This window comes from Homo sapiens, chromosome 1 (assembly GCF_000001405.40).
Source record: "Homo sapiens chromosome 1, GRCh38.p14 Primary Assembly".
In the NCBI taxonomy this organism is placed as follows: Eukaryota; Metazoa; Chordata; class Mammalia; order Primates; family Hominidae; genus Homo; species Homo sapiens.
This window is the reverse complement of record NC_000001.11, coordinates 39442348-39465485: the sequence shown is the minus strand read 5'-3', so window position 1 is coordinate 39465485 and position 23138 is coordinate 39442348. Positions and strand designations below refer to the sequence as shown.

The following is a 23138-nucleotide window of genomic DNA, read 5'->3' as shown; positions in this document are numbered from 1 at the left end:
TTGACTTACCATACATTACAAAATTTATTAACTGTCAAAAGATTCTAATATAAATAAGAACTGTGCTATTTGGTAATCTGACTTCTAACACAGAAGTACAAAACCAGGCTCTTCTTAGAAGTGTAATGGACTGATACCATAGCTTCACTTTCCTCCATTTCATCTCCTTTATAAAAAATTATACTTATATTCTTTTGCTGCTAAGATAGCTTTGCAATGCTGGCCCCATCAACAGTTTCTCCACTTGGTAAGACAACCAGGTGCGACCCAGGCATGCTTCAGATTACATCCTCTCCCCATAGCGAAGAACAGGCAGCATTAGCTACACAGACCATATCCATTGAGAAGGAGAACATTGCAAGGCACACTGTACCTGATTGCCGAGGAAGAACTATAGACAGTAAAGAGTAAAGGATGGAGGAAAGGAGGGGAAAAAAAAAGAGAACATTTTGTCAAATTAACACTAAAGAATGAAAATCATATCATTACATTTTTCTGGCAAAGTGACACACACTGAACATATTCTTACCAAGCTCCTGCCACAGGGATGTGGTTTTAATTTTTTTTTTTTTTTTTGAGAGTCTCGCTCTGTTGCCCAGGCTGGAGTGCAGTGGCGCGATCATGGCTCACTGCAACCTCCGACCCCGGCGTTCAAGCAATTCTCCTGCCTCAGCCTCCCTAGTAGTTGGGATTACAGGCATGCGCTACCAAGCCCAGCTAATTTTTGTGTTATTAGTAGAGAGGGTGTTTCACCATGTTGGCCAGGTTGGTCTCGAATTCCTGACCTCAAGTGATCCGCTCGCTCGCCTCTCTACCTTCCAAAATTCTGGAATTACAGGTGTGAGCCACCACGCCCGGCCAGGGATGTGGTTTTATAAACTATGAACTAACTCTCCATGCTATGTTGTTCTTGTTAATTCATTTCTCTCATAGATAATTAAAAACAAAAAACAAGAAAACAAAATCCAACAAGCAGGCATAAGATTATATGGAGCTTTATTAACTAAATGCCCTAGGTTATATTCAAAGCAGATTCACCCAGCACTCCTCAGGAGACTGCAGCATGGGGTAGATTTGGTGTACTTTGAGGACATTTTGGATATACTAATGAAACATGGACCTTCCTGTGTTTCTTAGTGCAATCTAAATCCTCTTTGCCAATCATAGATTTTTCTTAGGACTTTAGAGAATCTTGACGAGCTGTTGATATATTTTAGGAGACCTGTTTCAGATCCTTCTATGTCCCTGACCCTGGTCCCAAAAGAAGCTAAAACACAAGTATAGTTCACTGTCAGTTATGGCCACACCTAGCATGGCTTTCCAGGGAAGACCACTGAGCCTGATGTCTCCTCAGTGCTCCTGGGCCCCATTTGTAGCCCAGCTCAGAGCAGGCACAGTGTCTGTTGGGGCTTCAACACAGTTTCCCCAGGCCTCTCTAGCCTGGGAGCCACTCAGGCTCACAATGACCATCTCTTTGTGGGCAAGTGGTCAGTCAATAGATATAATTGTTTCCAAAGGTACCTTCATCCCCCTAGGAACTTTGTCAGATGTGAAGTGACAGCTCTGAAATATCTCCTATCTTAAAACTTAAATACAAACTACTACTATCTAGGTAGATATGGGACTAGTTTTCAGATGTAACAGGGTACCTGACACTTGGCATCTATAGAGATGAGGTCAGAGAGTGACCACATCTCAAGTCCGATGGGCTCTGGGCCTCTAAGCATCAGGAGGAAAAGGTGGGATCAGCCACATATGAGAAACCACCACAACAAAGGACTGCTTTTTCTCTTCCTTACCCGGTATTTATTCTCTCCGATCTGCTCCACCTGAAACCTTTTTGCACATTTGCACTGAGCCACTTGTCTTGTAACCTATTGGGTGTGAACAAAAAGGAAAGTGTAAAGGGTAGAGCAAAACTTCCTATTCAGAGAAACAAAGATTTTTATACATTAACAGGGAGGCTATTCATTATTTACATTTTTTTTTTTTTTTGAGATGGAGTTTCGCTCTTGTTGCCCAGGCTGGAGGGCAATGGTGCGATCTCGGCTCCACCACAACCTCCGCCTCCTGGTTCAAACAATTCTCCTACCTCAGCCCCCCAAGTGGCTGGGATTATAGGCACGCACCACCAGGCCCAGCTAATTTTTTGTATTTTTTTAGTAGAGATGGGGTTTCTTCATGTTGGTCAGGCTGGCCTTGAACTCCCGACCTCAGGTGATCCGCCTGCCTCAGCCTCCCAAAGTGCTGGGATTACAGGCGTGAGCCACCACGCACAGCTCATTATTTACTTTTTAGGCATTTCAGGCTTTTGACATATACATTTATTGTCTGTTCCAAATTAGTATATGTTCTTCTTACTAAGTGAACTAATTGAGACACTGAGAAAAGGCATGAAAGAAAATTCCCAAGTGACTATACAACACATTCTTTATTCCTGCTTCAAAACTCCTTCAGAGAAAAGTGCTAATATGCTTGCATCAAAATCAAATTATTAATAAAGCAAATTATGAACTGCTTTAAATTTCACCCTAGGAGCCCAAGATTCCCTGGAAGTCAGTCCTGGTGTGTTCCAGGGCCACTCCTAAGACCTGTCCCAGCACCTCTCCCTTACCAAGATCTGTTATCAACAGATGTTAGGGTTTCTAGATGGCACTAATAAATTTGGCAGTTTCAATGTGGTAGTTCTTAACAAGGCAGAAAGCATGATGGGTATACACCATTTTAAACATTACATTTTACTCCCCTTTTAAACATTTGTTTTTATTTTTTAAGACAAGTCTTGCTCTGTTGCCCAGGCTGGAGTGTAGTGGCATGATCACAGCTTACCACACCTTTGATCTCCCATGCTCAAGTGATCCTTCCACCTCAGTCTCCTGAGTAGCTGGGGCTACAAGCACTTGCCACCACACCTGGCTAATTTTTTTTTTTTTTTTGGCGGGGGGGACAGACAGAATCATACTATGTTGCCCAGGCTGGTCTCGAACTCCTGGGCTCCAGTGATCCTCCCGTGTTGGCCTCCCAAAGTGCTAGAGCTACAGATGTAAGCCACCATGCCCAGTCCATTTCAACCCTTAAATGCTACACTGGTAGACCATTTCCCTAGATTCCAGGCAGCATGCTCAAGAGTGAGATGAGTCCATCCCAAACACAGGACGAGTGAACCAGGATGAGTATGCTGCCCTGCAAAGGTTCTCTGTAAACTTCAGAGCACCACACAGACATGACTCACTTGAGTAATCCATCTAGCCTGAGCTAGAGCTCAGATGTCAGAGATCCTCTGGGACTCTTTGAAATGCTATCCAAAAAGAGATCTCAAAATAGAACTCCAAATAATTATCTCCCAACAGACAAGTCAAAGGCTAATATGATCACTGAACCCAACCAAATTCAGGATATTACAAACCTACAGCCAGAAGTGTACTCAAAATATAATTATTTCCCTTACCTCATCTTCGATTTTATCTGCATCGGTTGTTGGTCGATACGCATCCTTGTTGGGATGAAGAGCAGCCACAAATTCATAATAATCAATGTAACCATCCCCATCTCGGTCGAAAATGTCAGCCACAGCAGTCATCTCTAACTTGGTGGTGGGGAACTCTGGAGAAAAGGAATCATATTTTGAAACATTAAGAGGGGTACTTGTTCGGTTGGCGGTTATAGATTTTTTTTTTTTTTTTTTTTTTTTTTTGAGACAAGGTCTTGCTCTGTCGCCCAGGCTGGAGTGCAGTGGTGCAATCTCGGCTCACTGCAACTTCCGTCTCCCTGGTTCAAGTGATTCTCCTGCCTCAGCTTCCAGAGTAGCTGGGAATACAAGCGCCTGTCACCAGGCCCGGCTAATTTTTTTTGTATTTTTAGTAGAGACGAGGTTTTGCCATGTTGGCCAGGCTGGTCTTGAACTCCTGGCCTCAAGTGATCCACCCATCTTGGCCTCCCAAAGTGCTGGGATTACAGGCGCGAGCCACCACGCCTGGCCAGAAATACTTCTTAAGAGCAAAAAAATTTATGTCTTGATTTTTCCTGAAAAATAATACATATCCACTTATAGACTCCCCTACCCCAAATGCAACGAAAAAAGGTAATATTCCCCATTTCAAATATACCAAAAGGCATAAACATAATATTACAACCACCCACAGTCCTACCACTCAACTCAAGAATATACTCATCCACTCCACAATTATTGGATATTTAGATTATTTCAGAATAGTGACAGTTTGGAATAGCATGAAGTTTTCCTATGTTTAGATTATTGTCTTAGATTCTAAACAAATTGCTATACAAAGGGAAGTGTGACTATTTATAGTAGTCACAGTGATTTACTAAAACACAGACCAAATCATATTGTTTCCCAGCTGAAAACCTCTGGTTAACCACTGTCTTTTTTTTTTTTTTTTTTGAGACAGAGTCTCACTCTGTTGCCCAGGCTAGAGTTCACTGGCACGATTACAGCTTACTGCAGGCCTTGACCTCCCCAGGCTCAGGTGATTCACCTCAGCCTCCCAAGTAGCTAGGACTGCAAGTGTGCCACCATGCCTTTGCCACCTGCCTCCCAAAGTGCTGGAATTACAGGTGTGAGCCAAGCTCCTGGCCAGCTTCAGAAAGACTGTTTAGCTAGAATATCACAGCTTCTACAAAGTGCAAGGAATCCAGGTGTGACCCATGTTTGGAATGATGACTAGACTCACTGGATGCTAAAATGCCATCGATAAACTCCTGACGTGTTATCTTCCCATCCTGGTCCTTATCAATGCGCCGGAAGAAATCCATCACTCGAGACTTTTTGTGATTCATCCAACGCATATACTTTTTCCTCCAGACATCAAAGTCAAAGTTGGCAAATTCTTTCAACTACACAGAAATCAGAAGTGTCAATAAGATTTATTTTTTGGGCCCTCAAAAGCTGCCCAGAGCATACCCAAACTTTCAGACATTCAGTAAAGCCATGCTTCCAGGGGCCATCAACAATGAAATCTATGTGTTTGCTTCTTTTGTGAAGGCACAATCTGGCTCTTTCACTTAAAGCCATGACTATTTACACGAGCTATGGTATAATGGAATAGCAAGAGAAACAATAACTGAATCACCATGGAAAATATGGAGCACACAGAATGAGAATGGGTGAAGCCAGCCTTGCTTTCCCTTTGGGCTTTTCAAAGGATCACTCTCTTAGATGCAAGGAAATGGATTCTAACCCAGAAGGGAGGTCCTTAGCACTCCTCGATTATGTTGTTTTGAAAGGCATTATAATCACACATAGGGCTCATATCAGGAGGCTCGTGTTTACCACTATCTTCTGAGATTTCAATGAGAAAATCTGAGTTCTGGATGGAAGCATTGGGAACCCAATGTTGTATCCAAGCATGTTTCTTTGGAATGGCACCAGAGAGCAAATTGCCCATCTGACCTCCATGTTAAATATTTGGCCTTGATGGAAAACAGCAGGCCTATGCAGTGGGCAAGACAATTTTCAGCTACTTAAGTCTACGTTAATGATATACACTCAAAATGACTTAAAGAGTGCAGCAGTTTCCCCTTGGTCTTTCAAACTCCAAAGTTAGAAGGAATGGGGGAAAAAAGCACCAAGAACCCAATAAGCTTAAAAGTCAACTGACCTAAGGAAAAAATAAACAAAACACAGAACACTCACTTCCAGGCATAGCTGCTTTGATATGCACAAATAAAAAAATACAAAAGATATTAGAGGCTTGTTTTAGAAACTAGGAAGCATAGTACTATATTTTTTATACTGGGTAATGACACTTCAAAATAGAGTTGCTTCTCATGATCAAGTGAAGACTAATAACAAAATCATTAAAAATTACTCCTATTTCATAATTCTGTAGCATCTGTTTTTACATGAAAGGCTCAACAAGGGTCATTTTTGTGCTATGCTACATATCTGGAGATAAATTTCCAAAGTTCTGTTCCTGATTCCCAACCACAGCAAGATGCTGAGGCAGATCAGGTCCTGGCCCTCATTATGGACTGGCTGTTTTCTTGCTTTCCACACCTAGAAGCTTTAGCCTACTCTGTCACAAACGGTTTTCTTACACATGTGTCTTTTCTCATTCAGGGGCCTCAAAGAATGAGTACTGGCTTGGTATAGGTCTGTTTCTATTGTGAAAAAGTAAATTAAGACACAAGGTTCACATTAAGAGAGCCTCAGAAGGGCTGTGTTTTGATTGAAAAAAGCACTTTGTTTCAGGGAAGGCCACTCAGCAGGGCATTACCTCCTCCAGCCGATCCAAGGCATCATTCAGTTTCCTTTGCCGCTCCAGTGCTAACAGCCACACCTGCTGCCAGCGGGCAGAAAGCTGGTTGATCCGTGGGTTTTTTGCTTCAGACTGTGAAAGGATTGGCATGGGAGGAGGGGTTGGCTGACTTAGGGATTTCCCTAAAAGGAAAAATAATCACAAGATTAGAACAGCTGGTTAGTATACAAAGAGAAATAGCTGTATGTATAAACCTAGAAGATCTTTATAATAATATCCAGTCAATAACTGAGAAAAGAAATACGGGACTTGGCAATATTTAGATACGGAGGTGTACTAATTCCAAAAGTACTGATCCTCCCAGCACATACTTACCTGCTGCCTACATATCTCCAAGCAATTCTGTCCTACCTTAGTGAGCTGATGACACGTTAACTCAACTAAAAAAGCAACATATTCTGTAGAAGCTGTTGTGTTGATTAAATTAGTACAAGCCAAATGTAAACAGCTAGGGCTGATAACCAAAACAATGGAAAGGCCACTGTTAAAAAATAAGCTTAACCACCTCGTAATTTCATACCAATCATACCAAAGAATATGGAGTACAGCTACTGTCTGTCAATGTAAGAAAAGTGAGTTTCAAAAATGAGAGATTTTGGTTCAAAACCAACACGGTTTTTGAAAATGGAATATAATTTTTTTTGATAGGCATTTGGAAAGTGCTCATCCTCAATTAGCAGGAATGAAGCATCCTAACACAGGGGGCTGGAAACATACTGCCTCCGCTGCGGGATTTCTCTATGAAAGGCGCGTGAGTAGGCTCTATGTTTTTCCTTTTGTATGTCTTGGTGACCCGGTCCACGTCAGGCTGTTTGCGAGTCATCTCCTCCATAAATGTCTGTTAAACACAAAAAATAGGAAAAAGAGTTAAATATTGTATTTTTACTCTTATGGGGGCAAAGGAAGAGCTAGGATGGGTACTTTACGGCCTGTGGTGGCAGGAAAGGCTGTGTGGAGGCTGGTGCCTGAGTTGAGTTACTGAGGGATGTAGTTTGGATATTTGTCCCCTCCAAATCTCATGTTGAAATGTGATTTCCAATGCTGGAGGTGGGGTCTAACGGGATGTGATTGAGTTATGGGGGCAAATTCCTCATGAATGGCCTTGGTGCCCTCCCCATGGTAATGAGTGAGTTCTTGCTGTTAGTTCACATGAGAACTGGCTGTTTAAAAGGAGCCTGCTATCTCCTCCTCTTTCTCTCTCTCCCTCTCTTGCCATGTAACACGCTGGCTCCCCTTTGCCTTCCACCATGATTCTAAGCTTCCTGAAGCCCTCACCAGAAGCAGATATTGGCACCATGCTTCCCGTACAGCCTGCAGAACCGTAAGCCAAAATAAACCTATTTTCTTTATAAATTACCCAGTCTCAGGAATTCCTTTATAGCAATGCAAACGGACTGACACACTGAGCAATGAAGAAACAGTCAACAAATGGTGGGAAGGCAGTCCTGGAAGAGGGTGCAACCCAAACAGAGACAGGGATGCCTGACAGTGCTGTGACCAGGACCCCTCCACTCACTGGCTGGGCAGAGGATGCAATCAGAGGAATGGCAAGAGGCAGGGTTGGAGAGGCAGGCAGGAGACAGATCACGAAAGGCTTCTGTGTCAGGCTAAGGGTTGGCCATTTATTCTGAGAGCAACAGGGGGCAGCTGAAGGATTTCGATCCAGGTAAGAGACATGATCAGACCCATGCTTTACAGCTATCACTCTGGCTTCAGTGTAAAACATGGAGTGATGTGGGGGTGGGGGTAAGTGTGGGATGGGGAGTGGCTAGCAGTGAGAAGACAGGTTAAGAAACCATTGCAGCAACTGAGGCAAAACATGGTGAGGGCCAGAGCCAGGGCAGGAAAGATGGAACCAAGAGGTATTTTGAAAGTGGGACTGACAAGCCCTGGTGAGTGGCTAGATGTGAGGAAAAGGAGGAACTCCAGACATCACAGGCCTCTGAATGAGGAAAGGGGGGGCAGATCTGGAATGGACAAATGACGTCAGGCAAGGGGGCAAAGATAAAGTGGAAATTTTAGAACTGCTTCTAGTTTACTGTATGTCTGGACTTTAGGAGATGATAGTGCTGAAGATGAAAAAGATGCAGAAGCTTTATAGGTAATAGCTAAAGCTGTTAGACCAGATAAATCTTAGCAGAGTGAGGAGAGCATCAAGAATGAGACGTCAGGGAACAACACTGATGAATAGGCAGGGAAGAGGAACCAGCTAAAAAGGCTAAAAAGGAACGGTCAGAGAGATCAGAGGAAAACACAAAGATTAAAGGACACAGAAGTCAAAAGGGAAGTTTTGGGAAGGGATGAAGAGCCAGCTAGGTTACATGTCAAACAAAATAAAGACTGAAAAAACTCTGTTGGATTTAGCCAGTAGAATGTGACCAGAACAGTGTCAGCCAGACCACAGGGACTTGGGGAGTGATGGGAAAAAAGGAGATGAGACAGGGAACAAGAAGCGTAGCTGAAAAAGGAGGGGAACTCTGGGTTGGAAGGACATGTCTGGAAGCTTTAGAGAAAAGAATAAACAGGGAGAGACTGAAGACATAGAGGAGAGAGAGGAAAACAGAAAGGAGAAGAACTGAATAGGAAGAAGATAATCTCTCAGAGAGGAGGTACATCCCACAGGAAGGACAGGTGCTCCTCGACTTACGATGAAGTTACATCCTGGCAAACCCATCGTTAAGCTGAAAATATAACACACCTAAACTATGGAACATCGTAGCTTAGCCTGGCCTACCTTAAACATGCTCAAAACACGTTAGCCTACAGTTAGGCAAAATCATCTAACTCAAAGCCTATTTTATAATAAAGTGTTGACTATCTCATGTAATCAAAGTGAAAGAATGGTTGGATGGGCACTCAAAGTGCTTTTTTTTTGAAATGGAGTCTTGCTCTGTCGCCCAGGCTGGAGTGCAATGGTGCGATCACAGCTCACTGCAACCTCTGCCTCCCTGGTTCAAGTGATTCTCTTGCCTCAGCCGCCTGAGTAGCTGGGATTACAGGCAACCACAACCACACCCGACTAATTTTTATATTTTTAGTAGAGATAGGGTTTCACCATGTTGGCTAGGCTGGTCTCAAACTCTTCACCTCAAGTGATCTGCCCCCCTTGGCCTCCCAAAGTGCTGGGATTACAGGGGTGAGCCACCACGCCTGGCCTCTAATTGTATAGTTTCTACTGAATATGTATAACCTTTGAACCATGATAAAGTTGAGAGACTGTAAGTCAGGGACTATCTGTATAGTGAGTTCTCACTTGCTGGGGTAATTGTTTATATAAACTAAAAAGACCATATAGTCTACAGTATAACTAATCAACATTCACGCTTGAATTCAGTATAAATGATTATGGTTAAAAATAGTATTTGCCTCTTAAGGATATATTATGAAGATGGCCCACCTGAGCTTTCCTCCATTCAGTTTAGTCTAATGTGCACCTTCACTGACCACTGGGTTCATGCGAGAGAGCTTTCTGAACCAGGTATAATGGGGACCAGTGGGACCCTGGCTCAAATGATGGTCAATAAAAACAGGCTGTGGCAGGCAGACTTCTAAAAAGGCCCCCAGGATTCCCACTCCTGTATGCACACTCTATGTAATCCCCCTCCCTTGAGTGTGGGCAAATGATGGAATATTCACTCCCTTAATTACATTTCATTCTTCATTACATTTCAAGACTCCATAGAGCACTTTGGACAGTTTCTCCGGCTGGCTGTGTGGCTAAGACCTGAGGGGGCCTCTAGAAGGCAAGAGCAACTCCTAGCTGAGAGCCAGCAAGAAAGTAGAGACCTCAGTCTTACATCCACCAGGATCTGGATTCTGCCAACATCCTGAGTGAGCCTAAAAGAGGACCCTGAACTCCAGATGAGACTGCAGTACTGGCTGACACCTTGATTTCTGCCTGGGGAGACTCCAGGAAGAGGACTTAGTCAACTCATGCCCAGGTATATGAAGCACAGAAACTATGAGGTAAGTAAGTATGTGTTGTTTTACAGTGCTAAGTCTGTGGTAATGTGTTAAGCAGCCATTTAAAAACATATACACAGGGCAACAGAGATGGTCTCCATGCCCAACACGGAAAACACCAGTGATCACACAGTGAGGTTAAGATACCTGATGCTCAGCGATAAGGGCTTTAACTCGGTCAATGTTCTGCGGGATTGGCTCCTGATCCCGCTGAATGAGGGTGGTCTCAGCCCACTGGATCCATGCCAGAAGTTCTTCCAGGAGCTCAGCATTAGCCACCAGTTCTGACAAGGCCGTTTCAAGACGCTGCTGGTGCTGCTTAGCCCATGTCAGGACCTGTGGAAAAAGAAGGAAACCATGGCCTCTTTCAGTCAAGCATACCCCCTTTGTTTCCAAAGCCCTTTTTCATCTGATTTTCATAATGGCTTTTTATTTTATTTTTTTGGAGACAGACTCTCGCTCTGTCACCCACACTGGAGTGTAGTGGCACAATCTTGGCTCACTGCAACCTCTGCCTCCCGGGTTCAAGTGACTCTCCTGCCTCAGCCTCCCAAGTAACTGGGATTACAGACTTGTGCCACCATACCCAGCTAATTTTTTGTATTTTAGTAGAGATGGGTTTCACCATGTTGCCCAGGCTTGTCTTGAACTCCTGAGTCAGGTAATCTGACCGCCTCAAGCCTCCCAAAGTTCTAGGATTATAGGCGTGATCCACTGCTCCCGGCCAACACAATGACTTTTTAGAGGAGAGACCACCCAAACAGTCAAGAGGCTTCACTATTACCCCAGTGACAACTGGGATAAGAGCTGGAATAAAATATCAGCCCTCCTGAAAGAAAATCTAGTATAGTTGTTCCTTGGTATCCATGGGGGACTGGTCCCAGTACCACCTGTGGATACTAAAATCCATGCATACTCAAGGCCTATAATTGGTTTTGTGCAACCTGCAAAAGTCTGCCCTCTGCACACATGGGCTTCGCTTCCCGTGAATACTGTATTTTCTATCCATGTTTGGCTGTGAATGTGGACCCCACCAACATGGAGGGCTGACTGTATTTACTGAACAATAACCGCATATAAGTGGACCTGTGCAGTTGAAATACACATTGTTCAAGGGTCAGCTGTACATCCTGTTAACACAGGATTTCCCAGGAAGGAGCAGACACTACACAACATGTCCACTGGAAGTCACATTAACATAGCACTATGCCAACACTACTCCTCCAGGTTGCCACACATTACCAAGAAAACAGTCTTTACTAAAATGTTAACTTAATTTTTGCTGAGTTATTCACAGTGAGTGAAAGATTCCTTACCTGGGGGAAAAATACTATACTATACTATAGTGATAGTTTACTGGGCGTGTGCAGTCCTCCTCTGAACCAGGGACTCACCTCCTCGAAGCGAGCTCGGATGATGGTGATCCAGTGTTTGATGGTTGTGATGCAATCGGGGTGGCAGACAGCCAGGATGACTTCTCCCATGGCTACTGCTGAGTTAACGTCCACTCGCTTTTCTTCTACTTTCTTCATGAATTCCTAAACAAAAAAGATTTGAAAACAAAAACGTAAAAAGTCTACATTAGCAGCACTGTTAGTTTACACTGAGGGGGGATAAATTTCAATGTTTTCTTTTTCCTCCATGTGTTAACGCAGACCTCTAAAAGCCTGTATAGTTATTTATGGCATTTTCATTCTAAAAGATGTGGGAAGGTGAGGGGTTTACACAAGAATGACTTTCTCTGGTGGAGATGACAACAAAGAATAGGACACACAGAGGTATGCCCCCCTTTTCCCATTCGAGTTAGTTTCTCTCTTTTTTAGTCCCATTTTTCATTTACTCTCATTTATATCCTATTTCATTTCATGTTGGTAAACATATTTGTATTGGAAAAATATAATTATAGTTGTAAAAACCATGATTTTAAAAAATACCCATAACAGAATATAATAACAAATCCATGATTAAAATCTCTGAGTGGATAACATAAAAATTTAAAAAGGGAAACATTTCCCACCTCATTAGGACAGACTGAGACCCCAGACACTGCACCATACTCTACAGCTTAGTAAGTGGTGCTGGGGGATCAGATCAGGGCCTAAAGCTGGTAACATAAGGCAAACAAAGGCGTATGCAGGTGAGGAGTAAAGAAGATGAAATAGTCAACATTTTTCTTAATACCATGTTTAAAAAACTTGTTACAACCAACATATATTACTTTTATAAGAATGAATGTTACTGTTTAAGGTGTCAAAAAACCCATCAGTCGCTTCCCTTTCATTCCTGCTAAACCAATGAGCTAGGGCCACTCTGGTTTTGTTCCTTTTCATGTGAGCTCTGATATTTCCAAGAAAAAGTTGCTTTCATTTAGTGGTAGGCAGCCCTCAAGGTGGTAGGTAGCATGAGGTCACCAAACCCCAAGGCTGGATTACCTTATGGGTGTCAATGAGAGACTGCAGGGCCTCTGTGTCATCAGGAAGTGCTCCCCGAAAGCGAAGCGTTTGCTCTGCTTCAGAAAGCCACTCCAACAGCATGTGGACTGTGTCTCGAAACACTTCCGCCTGAAATAACCAAGCACAAAAGATTCAACCTCTCTCTGCAGCCAAGGACCTAGATACTGGGACATGCTAGGGAAAGGGTCCAGTGTTCATTCAGACATTTCATGGCCTCATCAAAACTCCACAAAGGTTATCTTTCATTTGTAGATCTTTGAAAATCAACTGAATTCATTATTTCTCAAAATGAATATTAAAATTTTATAGAACATTCAGAATATCAATTTTCAACTCTGTTATACTTATTTCAAGACTGACTGGAACAGATTCTAGTAAAAGAAAAACCAAATAAACCCACTCAGATCTATCCCTTGGGTTGGGACAGCAAATATCCCTTACTTGTTTTAAGGCCTGCTCAAGCCGGCTTTGTTTGGAAACAGAGAGTTTACAGACAGTGTCCCAGCGAGTGCTCAGTTCCTGGAGCTGTCCTTTTACCCAAGTGGTGTCATCTCGACTATTCTCAATCAGCTCTCGGCCTGACCGCTTCAGGACCTGAACGGTTCCTGTTCGCTTTCCCAGTTCCTTCTGGAAAACCTAGAAAAGAAAATAGGAGAATTTGTTTGTTCAAGGAATGTTTTGAGTCCAAGAAACCACTGGGAAATAATAATTTTCTTGGTAGGTTCTAATCATGTGTCTTTTATGCATAGAGGGAGGCAGAGCAATGCATAAGAAAAAACAACCAGGCCGGGCGCAGTGGCTCATGCCTGTAATCCCAGCATTTTGGGAAGCCGAGATGAGAGGACTGCTTGAGCCCAGGAGTTCAAGACCAGTCTGGGCAACATGGCGAGACCCAATCTCAAGGGGAAAAAAAGAAAAAAGAAAGAAAAAAACAACCAGAAAATGTGGCTGTAAATGCTAGCTCAGGCATTTAGGAGATACATAATTTTGAAAAGTTGCTTAAGGCCCAGTTTCTTCATCTGTAAAATGGTAACCATTATACTAACGTTTCCAGAATTATGGGAAATAAAAACATCTGCTGTGCACATAATAAGAATCTGTTGTAATTTCAAGGTAAAGTTAAATGCTTGTGCTGAAACAGGAGGATATTACATAATTCAACATGACAGATAGAGATTATGTTAAATATTGGCGTGCCTGGTGTTAGGATTGTTAGGTTCAGAAGTGGTTTAAAAAAAAAATCACTCATTTCCATTTTAGGAGTCAGTGGAAATGGCTATCTTATGGGTTTCCGTTGGAATTTAGATCCATTTTGTGACTCAACTGAGAGAAACAAACAGGAAGAGGCGCAACCTTGAAGTGAAGTTTACACATTGCCAAATCTGAATCAAACCAATTTTGGTAAATTCGTTGTGACTAATGCAGAATCTCAGCAACAGTTTGTTTAAACACACAAAGCAACTGTCAGGCTCTCTTTCTCCCCTAGAAAGAAGGGCAGAGGCAGTCATATGTAGAAGACCCTAGGCAGTCATATACAGAAGACCCACTGCACTCCAATGTAGCCCAGACCTCACCCCTACCTTGTGTGCATCCATGAGGTTCATGACGAGGTCAAGGTCCCCGTGCACGGGCTGGTCCTCAGCCAGCTGTGGCTCCACCTTGTATAACCAGTCAACCAATGCCTGCAAAGCATCCATGAACTGACCCGAAAAGAGCAGGGCTTCCTCCAACTTGTGCTGCCTGAGAAATGCACACAAACGCTACCATTTTTAGGGATTCCTTTTACAAATGGCCCACAATTCTGCCTCGCTGAAAGGGAATATTGCTTGAACCCTATATAGAGAGTGACTTCTATGTTAGAACAGTTAGAAATACAGTAAAGGCCGGGCGCGGTGGCTCACACCTGTAATCCCAGCACTTTGGGAGGCCGAGGTGGGCAGATCACGAGGTCAGGAGATCGAGACCATCCTGGCTAACACGGTGAAACCCTGTCTCTACTAAAAATACAAAAAATTAGCCGGGCATGGTGGTGGGTGCCTGTAGTTCCAGCTACTCGGGAAGCTGAGGCAGGAGAATGGCGCGAACCCGGGAGGCAGAGCTTGCAGTGAGCCGAGATTGCACCACTGCACTCCAGCCTGGGAGACAGAGCGAGATTCCATCTCAAAAAAAAAAAAAAAAAAAGAAATAGAGTAAAAAGTGACTGAGAGATGGTGAGACATTTTAAATCAAACCACCCTCTAGAATGGATTAAGGGTAGCACAGGGGACAGGTAGAGATACCCTTTAGGCATCTTATAGCCCAGTGACACACAGGCACACCCTAACAACCCAAGGTCTGTGTTAATCACCTCATATACCACTCTAAGTAAAAGATGATAGTTTTGGTAGTGATCTGGAATCAGTTCAACTCCTAGCTCTGTATCAGTTGTGTGACCCTAGGCTGTTTCTTCATCTCCTTGAACCTCAGTCACCTCATAAAAAAAAAAAATTGGAGTACAGGCCAAGTGTGTTGGCTCACACTTGCAATCCCAGCACTCTGGGAGGCCAAGGTGGGAGGATCACTTGAGGTCAGGAGTTACAGAACAGCCTGGACAATAGCAAGACCTTGTCTCTACTCAAATAAAAAACAATGGCTGGGCGTGGTGGCTGACACCTGTAATCCCAGCACTTTGGGACGCCGAGGCAGGTGGATCATGAGGTCAGGAGTTCCAGACCAGCCTGGCCAATATGGTGAAACCCCGTCTCTAATAAAAATATTAAAAAAAATTAGCTGGGCATGGTGGTGTGCACCTGTAGTCCCAGCTACTTGGGAGGCTGAGGAAGAAGAATTGCTTGAACCGGGGAGATGGAGGTTGCAGTGACCCGAGACAGTGCCACTGCACTCCAGCCTGGATGACAGAGGGAGATTCCATCTCAAAAACAAAAACAAAAAACATTAACCAGGTATGGTGGCACATGCCTATAGTCTGAGCTACTCAAGAGGCTGAGGTGGGAGGATCCCTTGAGCCCAGGAGTTGGAGGCTGCAGTAAGTTCTGCACTCCAGCCTGGGCCAGAGAGCTAGACCCTGTCTCAACATGACAAAAAAAAAAAAAAATGCCAGGCGCGGTGGCTCACGCCTGTAATCCCAGCACTTTGGGAGGCTGAGGCGGGTGGATCACGAGGTCAGAAAATTGAGACCATCCTGGCTAACACAGTGAAATCCCTTCTCTACTAAAAATACAAAAAACTAGCCAGGCGTGGTGGCGGGTGCCTGTAGTCCCAGCTACTCGGGAGGCTGAGGCAGGAGAATGGCGTGAACCTGGGAGGCGGAGCTTGCAGTGAGCCGAGATCGCGCCACTGCACTCCAGCCTGGGTGACAGAGTGAGACTCTGTCTCAAACAAACAAACAAAAAAAAGTACAAATAGGGTAGCAATATTGTAATATTTAGCATGGCATAGTGGGTACAAATAGATAAAAGTACAACTTTTAGAACCAAACTGCCATGGTTTAAACCTCAGCTCTGCCAACAGGGTAGCTGAGTGACCTTAGGGGAGTTAAGAACCTCTTTATGGTCATTTTCTCATCTGTACAATGGAATAAAAATGGTACCCACCTCAGTGGTTATGAGGATTAAATGATTATCAGCTACTGTTTGGTACATATTCAGTAGTAATTGCCCAGCAAAGGTCAGGTATCATTATGGTTAAATGAGGTAATGCATGTAGAGGCTTTGGAGTGTCCAAGAGCAGTCAATAAGACAGTTGTTGGTATTACAAATTGATGATTTACAAATACTTTTGAGTTACTGATCTATTATTGTTGGTTTGATTTTATAGGCCTCTCTCTAATACAATAAGGTTCAAGTTTAAAATGAGAATTTTTACACATTTTATTTAAATTATAACAGTCTTTGAACTAACTGGTGGTGTTAAGATGGTACAAAACCTCTTACTGATGCATTAGCTTTATCACCATTTTATAGAATCTGGTAAGAACCTCTTGCTTTTGGGATCCCGGTTAGACCCCTGAAGGGGACATTCATGCTCACCGCTCCACAGACTTGCCACAAACAGTATCCCATTTGTCTCTGACTTCTCCTAGGAAATTGTCAAGTTTCTGACTATCTTCGGGAAGCAAAGTCTTTTCTTTCAGTGCTCTGCCAGTTCTAATTGTGGTATCATACACAGGCTGCTTGCCACCAAGAGTCTTCTGAAACTCCTATGTTTCCAGAAAGAAAAGAAAAAAGTGTTAAAAGTCAGACGACATCTTGATTTGGAACAAAAGAATTTGAGTTTTCAGGCTAGAAACCAAATAAAGTATGAATATCACCACTTTTTTTGAACTAAAATTAACCATAGCTTATCCTTAAGAAATTTATAATTTTTTGTTTATACCATATATAGAAGTGCCTGACAATTTGTGAAAGCCTACAGTTTTAACTAGTTACTCCCATAACTACTTTCCTTAAACTGTTATTTAAATGAGCAAATATCATGATTAGACCATCTAGATATAAAATGGAACCCTGGCTTCATCATTTTGACTTTTAAACATTAACCAATTGGTTTTCTTTTTACTAGCTCTGATTTTTATTTTTGGCAAGATACAAGCTTTAGCGAATACTATGGCTTGGGACCTAAGAGCAATTAACTGCTTTACCTTATGCTTAGAAAGCTGAAGTTTAATTTTGTCTGGGTCATTGGATATCTCTAGTTCTGAGTCCAGGTGACTCTCTGCATCTTCTAGCCAGTCAATCAGTTTTTTCCAAGCTTCATGGAACTAAAATTACATAAGAAATAAGTTAACAGGAATGAATATACACACTATACAGCACGTTTGAGAATCATCCCAGAGACTCAATACATGCAGCCCAAGACTCTTCAGTGAATTAGTATCTTTCTTCCCCAACTTACTTGTTTTGCCCGCTTCCTGGCATCATCTAGTGATCGCCCTCTTTCAATAGATCGCTGGACAACCTTCTCCCATCGAGACTGCACGCTCACCAACAAATTCTTGATCAGAACAACATCCTGCTTTTGGCTAAGGAACTTTAATTGATTCCCAGTTTGATCCAGCTCAATGATCTGGTCTCGATGAGCATTTACTTCATTAGCAAAAACCTGAGGGAACAATAGTGCTCTTTTTTAGCTTAAGATAAGATAAAGGGGCATTTCTTTCAATTAGTGCTTTCAAAAAGAATGCAGCATCATAATATCATACTTACCTTGTGCTCTTCTATCTGGGAAAGGACAGTATTTAGAATCAGGCTTGGTGGAGAAGCGATGTTTAAACTCTGCTCTGCTAGAGTGAGCCAGTTGATAAATTCTTGTAGGGAATTCTGGAATTCTGTTGCCAAGTTGAGGGCCTCTTCCAGCTTTGACTGAATTTCAAGTAAAACACACACACACAGAAAGAAAAAGCGCCAATTTCAGGAATTATAGGCTCAGCGACAAAGGCATGAATTGTACAACAAATGAAATGACCTCTAAAAAGGAAGCCTCATTTAATCAACGTCCAAACATGCTTTATTTGTAAAGAAGGGGACATTTTAATGTTAGTGTCTGAAACAAATGGGCAAGAACTGTGTACATGGAAAAGGAAATAGAGCACAATAAGCAGCTAAGTTCCTTTCTCTGCTACTCTCCACTTCCTTGAACGGGAATAAGACTATTCAATAACTGTAAGTGAACAGACCCTTTAGTGGTGACAGCTGCAGGATCTACAACCTGCTTTGGGTAATGTTTCAGTTTCCTTTAATGTACTTTTTGTGGTATAAAAACAGCTAAATGAAAAGCAATTTACTATGAAGATGATGTTCAATGTAGTACTCTTTGTTTAAATACATGTTTTCAGAAAATATGGCATATGAAAATATGAGTCTAAAAATTATGCTTATGCTATAAGAAGAAGAGGTAACGAAAGAAGCCAAGACATTCTAGGCAAAAATCTGACAACACTAGATGTAGATTTTCAGACACTTTCATTTACCTAAGAATGGCAACAACAAGAGCTCATTCAGGGAAAAGGCTACTCCTCACAAGTACGCTTCAATCCCACAGAGTTCATAAGCTCCATCCTCAGAGACCTACACTAACCTTTTGGTAATGACTTCTGCCTCTGGCCCCCCTACTAGGCAGGCAAAGTAAAAATGACAGGCTGACAAAAATGAGTATTTCCAAAATATTCACAGAAAAAACTCCAAGATGTACACCAAAAACGTTAACTGTTGTTAATTCTACCTGACTGGGTTGTAATTTCTATTTTCCTCTTTGCGCTTTCAGGTTATTTTTGTAACCACCCCCCACCAAAAAAAAAAAAATTACAATAAATGTTATAAAAATGTACAAACCCAATCTAAACAAATCAGGTGGAAAAATGAAATCCACTTCAAATATATATAGAAATGTTTAGAAATTAATATATTACAAGTTCCTAGATGATAGGAATTCTTTCCACATCATTCTATCCACATATTCTTTATATATTTTTTATATCTACTTTATAGATATAAAAGATATACTTTTATATCTAATTTATATCTTTATATTCTTTATATCTACATATTCTTTATATTTTCTTACTACAGCACCACACACATTTAATAAATGATTTTACTGATCCTGAAGGTAATGTTTCTGCAAAATAATAAACTATCCTTGACACTCAGCTTTTGCCTGACCATTTCTGATAATGGGCAACTATGTCTTAAGGTATTTTGCTCAACTATTAAGAAAACTCTCTGAAAATTTCTTGGTTATGAGCTGGAATCTGTCTCAGTTTATTTAATCTTAGCTTTGCCTTCTGCAGGATCTATGGATGACAGCCTGTCCAAGGATTGTTTTCTCTTTTTTTTGGAGATAGGTTATTGATGTCACCCAGGCTAGAATGCAGGGGCACCATCACTGCTCACTGCAGCCTCAACCCTCCAGGCTCAAGTGAGCCTCCTACTTCAGCCTCCCAAGTAGCTAGGACTACAGGCGTGTGCCACTACACCTGGCTAATTTTTAGGTATTTTTGTAGAGATGGGGTCTTGCTATATTGCCCAGGCTGGTCTCAAACTCCTGGTGTTAAGCAATCCTCCTGCATCAGCCTCCCAAGTGCTGGAATTACAGGCGTGAGCCACCAGGTCTGACTCTGTCCAAGAATTAGCATACACTTAGGTCCTTTAGCCATTCTTAATATAATCAAATTACCCAATCCCATGCTAGAAGGTTTTTAGGAAATTAATGCTTCTCTCAAGATGTTCATGTGTTTTATGCCCTTCTGTTCATTAATTTCCCAAAGATAGGGTCGTCTTTAGTGTTTCCACCATAAATCAGGCACAGGACTTGGCACACACTTGCTCAATAACTATTCATTGAGTGAATGTGGTCAACAGGTTTGTGTATGTATATATTTCATACTTGATCTGAGCAGCAAAAAATACAGTGAAACTCTGTACTCATAAAAAATAATCTTTTTGGGCAAACACCTTGATCCCTAGTCATCTTTCATTATTTTGTAGAGAAGAGAATTTGATTTTTGAGGATGAGTGGGAAGAGGTCATATAATTTACTTCTCTCCTGATTTCTAGTAAATTTCCTTGCACACTACATTTACGTTAGGAACCAAATTCCTTGTGGAGAATTATTCGTCAGTCCCTATATGCCCTGTCCCCAATCTCTCAACCCCAAGATACCAACTCCAGCAAAACCTTGTTTTTAAGTAGAACACAAATTGGTGATTAATATAGGACATAAAGCCCATCACGAAGCGATAATGGCAGTAATGTCTTAACAGGTAAGGAATGAATAATTATAAAAGCAAATAACAACAGAAACTTATACCATCAATGCAACTCAACACAGATGGAATCAGTTCTGCAACTTCTGTTACAATACCCTGGTCTTCAAAAAATCTTCATATAAATAAGATGGCAATTATTATACATGCAATCACTCAGCAAATTACTCAAACATGGGGATCATACACTGTACCTTTCTTTCTTCCATCTTACTGCTGACCACATGCCACTTCTGCTCCAAAAGTGCTACACTCTGTTCTGTCTTGGAGCCAGACCCAGAGTCGTCACGGCTTAGAAGCATGAGTCTGCCCTTGTCAAGTAGTTGATTATAAGTCTCTTCCTTGGCTTTCAGCTGGGAATAGAGTTCCTACAAGAAAAGGCAGGAAAGATATCAATTCTACGAATTCTCTGGAAGACACCTACATATAGATTCTGTAGCAGAGTCTGGGAAAGTCCAGGAAGGGCTCATCTTGATTACAAGCCATTCTTTTGGATTCAGTTCAAGTGCTGAGCCATAAGGGAATGAAACCCACCATACTTAATAATAAAATTAATTGTAATAACTAAATACTGATTACTTAGAATTCATTTGTATTAAAATGTAAGTATTAACATATTTTACTAAATAACAAGTGGCAAATTAAAATATTAAAATAATTTTATCACCCATAGAAGAAAAACTTTTTTTTTTTTGAGATGGAGTCTCACTCTGTCACCCAGGCTGGAGTGCAGTGGCAGTGATCTCGGCTTACTGCAAGCTCCGCCTCCCGGGTTCACACCATTCTCCTGCCTCAGCCTCCTGAGTAGCTGGGACTACAGGCGCCCGCCACCACGCCCGGCTAATTTTTTGTATTTTTAGTAGAGACGAGGTTTCACCATGTTAGCCAGGATGGTCTTGATCTCCTGACCTCATGATCCACCCACCTCGGCCTCCCAAAGTGCTGGGATTACAGGCGTGAGCCACTGCGCTCGGCCAAGAAAAACATTTTTTAAGGATTAGAGATCCCTCAAAAGACTCCAATAATCTATTTCCCCTTTTCATGAAAAATTTGCCTAGAAATTATGTTGCTTTTTGTTCTAGCATGCATTCTTGAAATACTGTCGGGTAACTATTTGATTTCCCTAAACCCCCCTTAAGTAGTTTCCTTCTTAAGTGAAAGCACATCTGTGTTGTATATTTGTCTTCTTGATGCTGTCATCTTCAAGTCAATATATGTGTGCCAGTAAAGCTGATTAACTCAAAATTTCCAGCTGACCTTCCCTGTCACTACTGCTGCCTACTGTAAGGTATTAGAAGCCTGTAACAGGCAGCAATCCCCAAAGGTTATACTATATGTTTGATAAAAATGCACTACTTTGTAGATTTCCAGATACATATTAATTATGACTGTGAACTTGGAAAGGAGCTAGTGAATATGGGATGCTTATGCTCAATTTCAAAAAATTGCTATTACCATATGTGTATCAAGCTGTTCCCTAGCAGTTTCAGGAAGTCCTCCTGTGGGCTTAGATGCAGAAAGCTGGCTCTCCATTCTAGTAAGTTCCAAGAGGAAATCTTCAATTTCACTGTGGAAGCCCTGGGCCTTTTGAGAAAAAGATATATCAACCATGTCAGTAGTCATTTCTCAGCTTTAAAAGTCAACTTTCCAAATGATATGAGGAGTTTATCTTGAGGAAGGAATTTTCGGCTGCTCTCTGGCAAAGCTGTTCTGTTGCTAGATTAGCATGGGGCCAATATTATTGCTAGAATCTAGCAGAATCCTTCAGACCTCACTATAACATATTATAAATGCCTGATACGATCAGATGAATTGACTATTGATTAAGGTACTGTTGAATAGGAAGAGACCTGACTTGATCCAAGAAAAAAAGGGAATCTGTTATAGTGAAGATCTGCTAACTTTGAATGTGAATAAAGAGACTGAGCTAGAAATGAATTCAGAAAAGAACTACCCAATCAAAAGCTGCTCTTTCTAGATAAGTTACAGCACAGTATTAACCTTCCCCTCAAGACATAAGGGATTCTTTGCTTTTCAAATTGATCTCTTCTCTCTGACTTAGATAGGCTTTCTGTTATCTGTATAGCTCTTCCTACCTTACTTGGATGTCACATGTACCTGCTGCAGAGTTGACTGAAGCTGCTGCTCCCTCTCCTCTGTTTTCTGTAACACTGACTCCCAGCATTGGTTCATGGCTTCCAAACGGCTCCTTAAGCTGCTGGCATCATCTCCAGCACTGGATTCAAGAAGCTCATTGCCAGCTTTGTTGACTGTTTCCACTGTGGCTTGATGAGCCAAAACATCATTTTTTAGGACCTAAAACATGTTGAACAACATAATTTATCTCTATGGATATCATCTAACTTGGTTCTCTTAAGATATACACAACATTCAAAGGCTGCTGGTGGCAGCATCTGGTCTCAAATCAATAGGGTTAGAGATGAAAAAATGAAAATACTTACATGGTGCTTTGCGAGCTCAACTTCAATGACTTTTGGGTCTCCACTTATTGGTCTCTGAGCATCTAACAACTCTTCGGTATGAGTCAGCCAACTCATTAGTTCCTCTAAGGCATGCTGGAACTGACCAAGGGCCAACAGAGCCCCTTCTAGTTTGTGCTACTCAGGAAAAGACAGAAAGGGAATATTCAATACGAAATTAGAAAAGAGCGGAGAGTAGTTC

General features: G+C 42.0%; 1 protein-coding gene across 3 annotated transcripts in view; it reads right to left on the bottom strand.

The window, feature by feature from the left end:
• Nucleotides 1-23138, bottom strand: part of MACF1 (microtubule actin crosslinking factor 1) — a 402972-nt gene that overhangs the window by 21653 nt on the left and 358181 nt on the right. For 2 of the 3 annotated variants that reach the window (NM_012090.5, NM_001397473.1), the window contains 18 exons: nt 22919-23074; nt 22575-22772; nt 21912-22040; nt 20651-20824; nt 17899-18054; nt 17588-17794; nt 17334-17453; nt 16723-16892; nt 14275-14434; nt 13136-13330; nt 12674-12802; nt 11636-11779; nt 10389-10577; nt 6996-7116; nt 6237-6400; nt 4692-4854; nt 3449-3603; nt 1800-1874 (listed from right to left, as the gene is read on the bottom strand). In NM_012090.5, coding sequence (NP_036222.3) covers nt 1800-1874; nt 3449-3603; nt 4692-4854; nt 6237-6400; nt 6996-7116; nt 10389-10577; nt 11636-11779; nt 12674-12802; nt 13136-13330; nt 14275-14434; nt 16723-16892; nt 17334-17453; nt 17588-17794; nt 17899-18054; nt 20651-20824; nt 21912-22040; nt 22575-22772; nt 22919-23074 — 2805 coding nt within the window. Of the gene's footprint in view, nt 1-373; nt 392-1799; nt 1875-3448; nt 3604-4691; nt 4855-6236; nt 6401-6995; nt 7117-10388; nt 10578-11635; nt 11780-12673; nt 12803-13135; nt 13331-14274; nt 14435-16722; nt 16893-17333; nt 17454-17587; nt 17795-17898; nt 18055-20650; nt 20825-21911; nt 22041-22574; nt 22773-22918; nt 23075-23138 lie in introns of all 3 variants that reach the window. The other variant, NM_001394062.1, reaches the window with a different exon arrangement.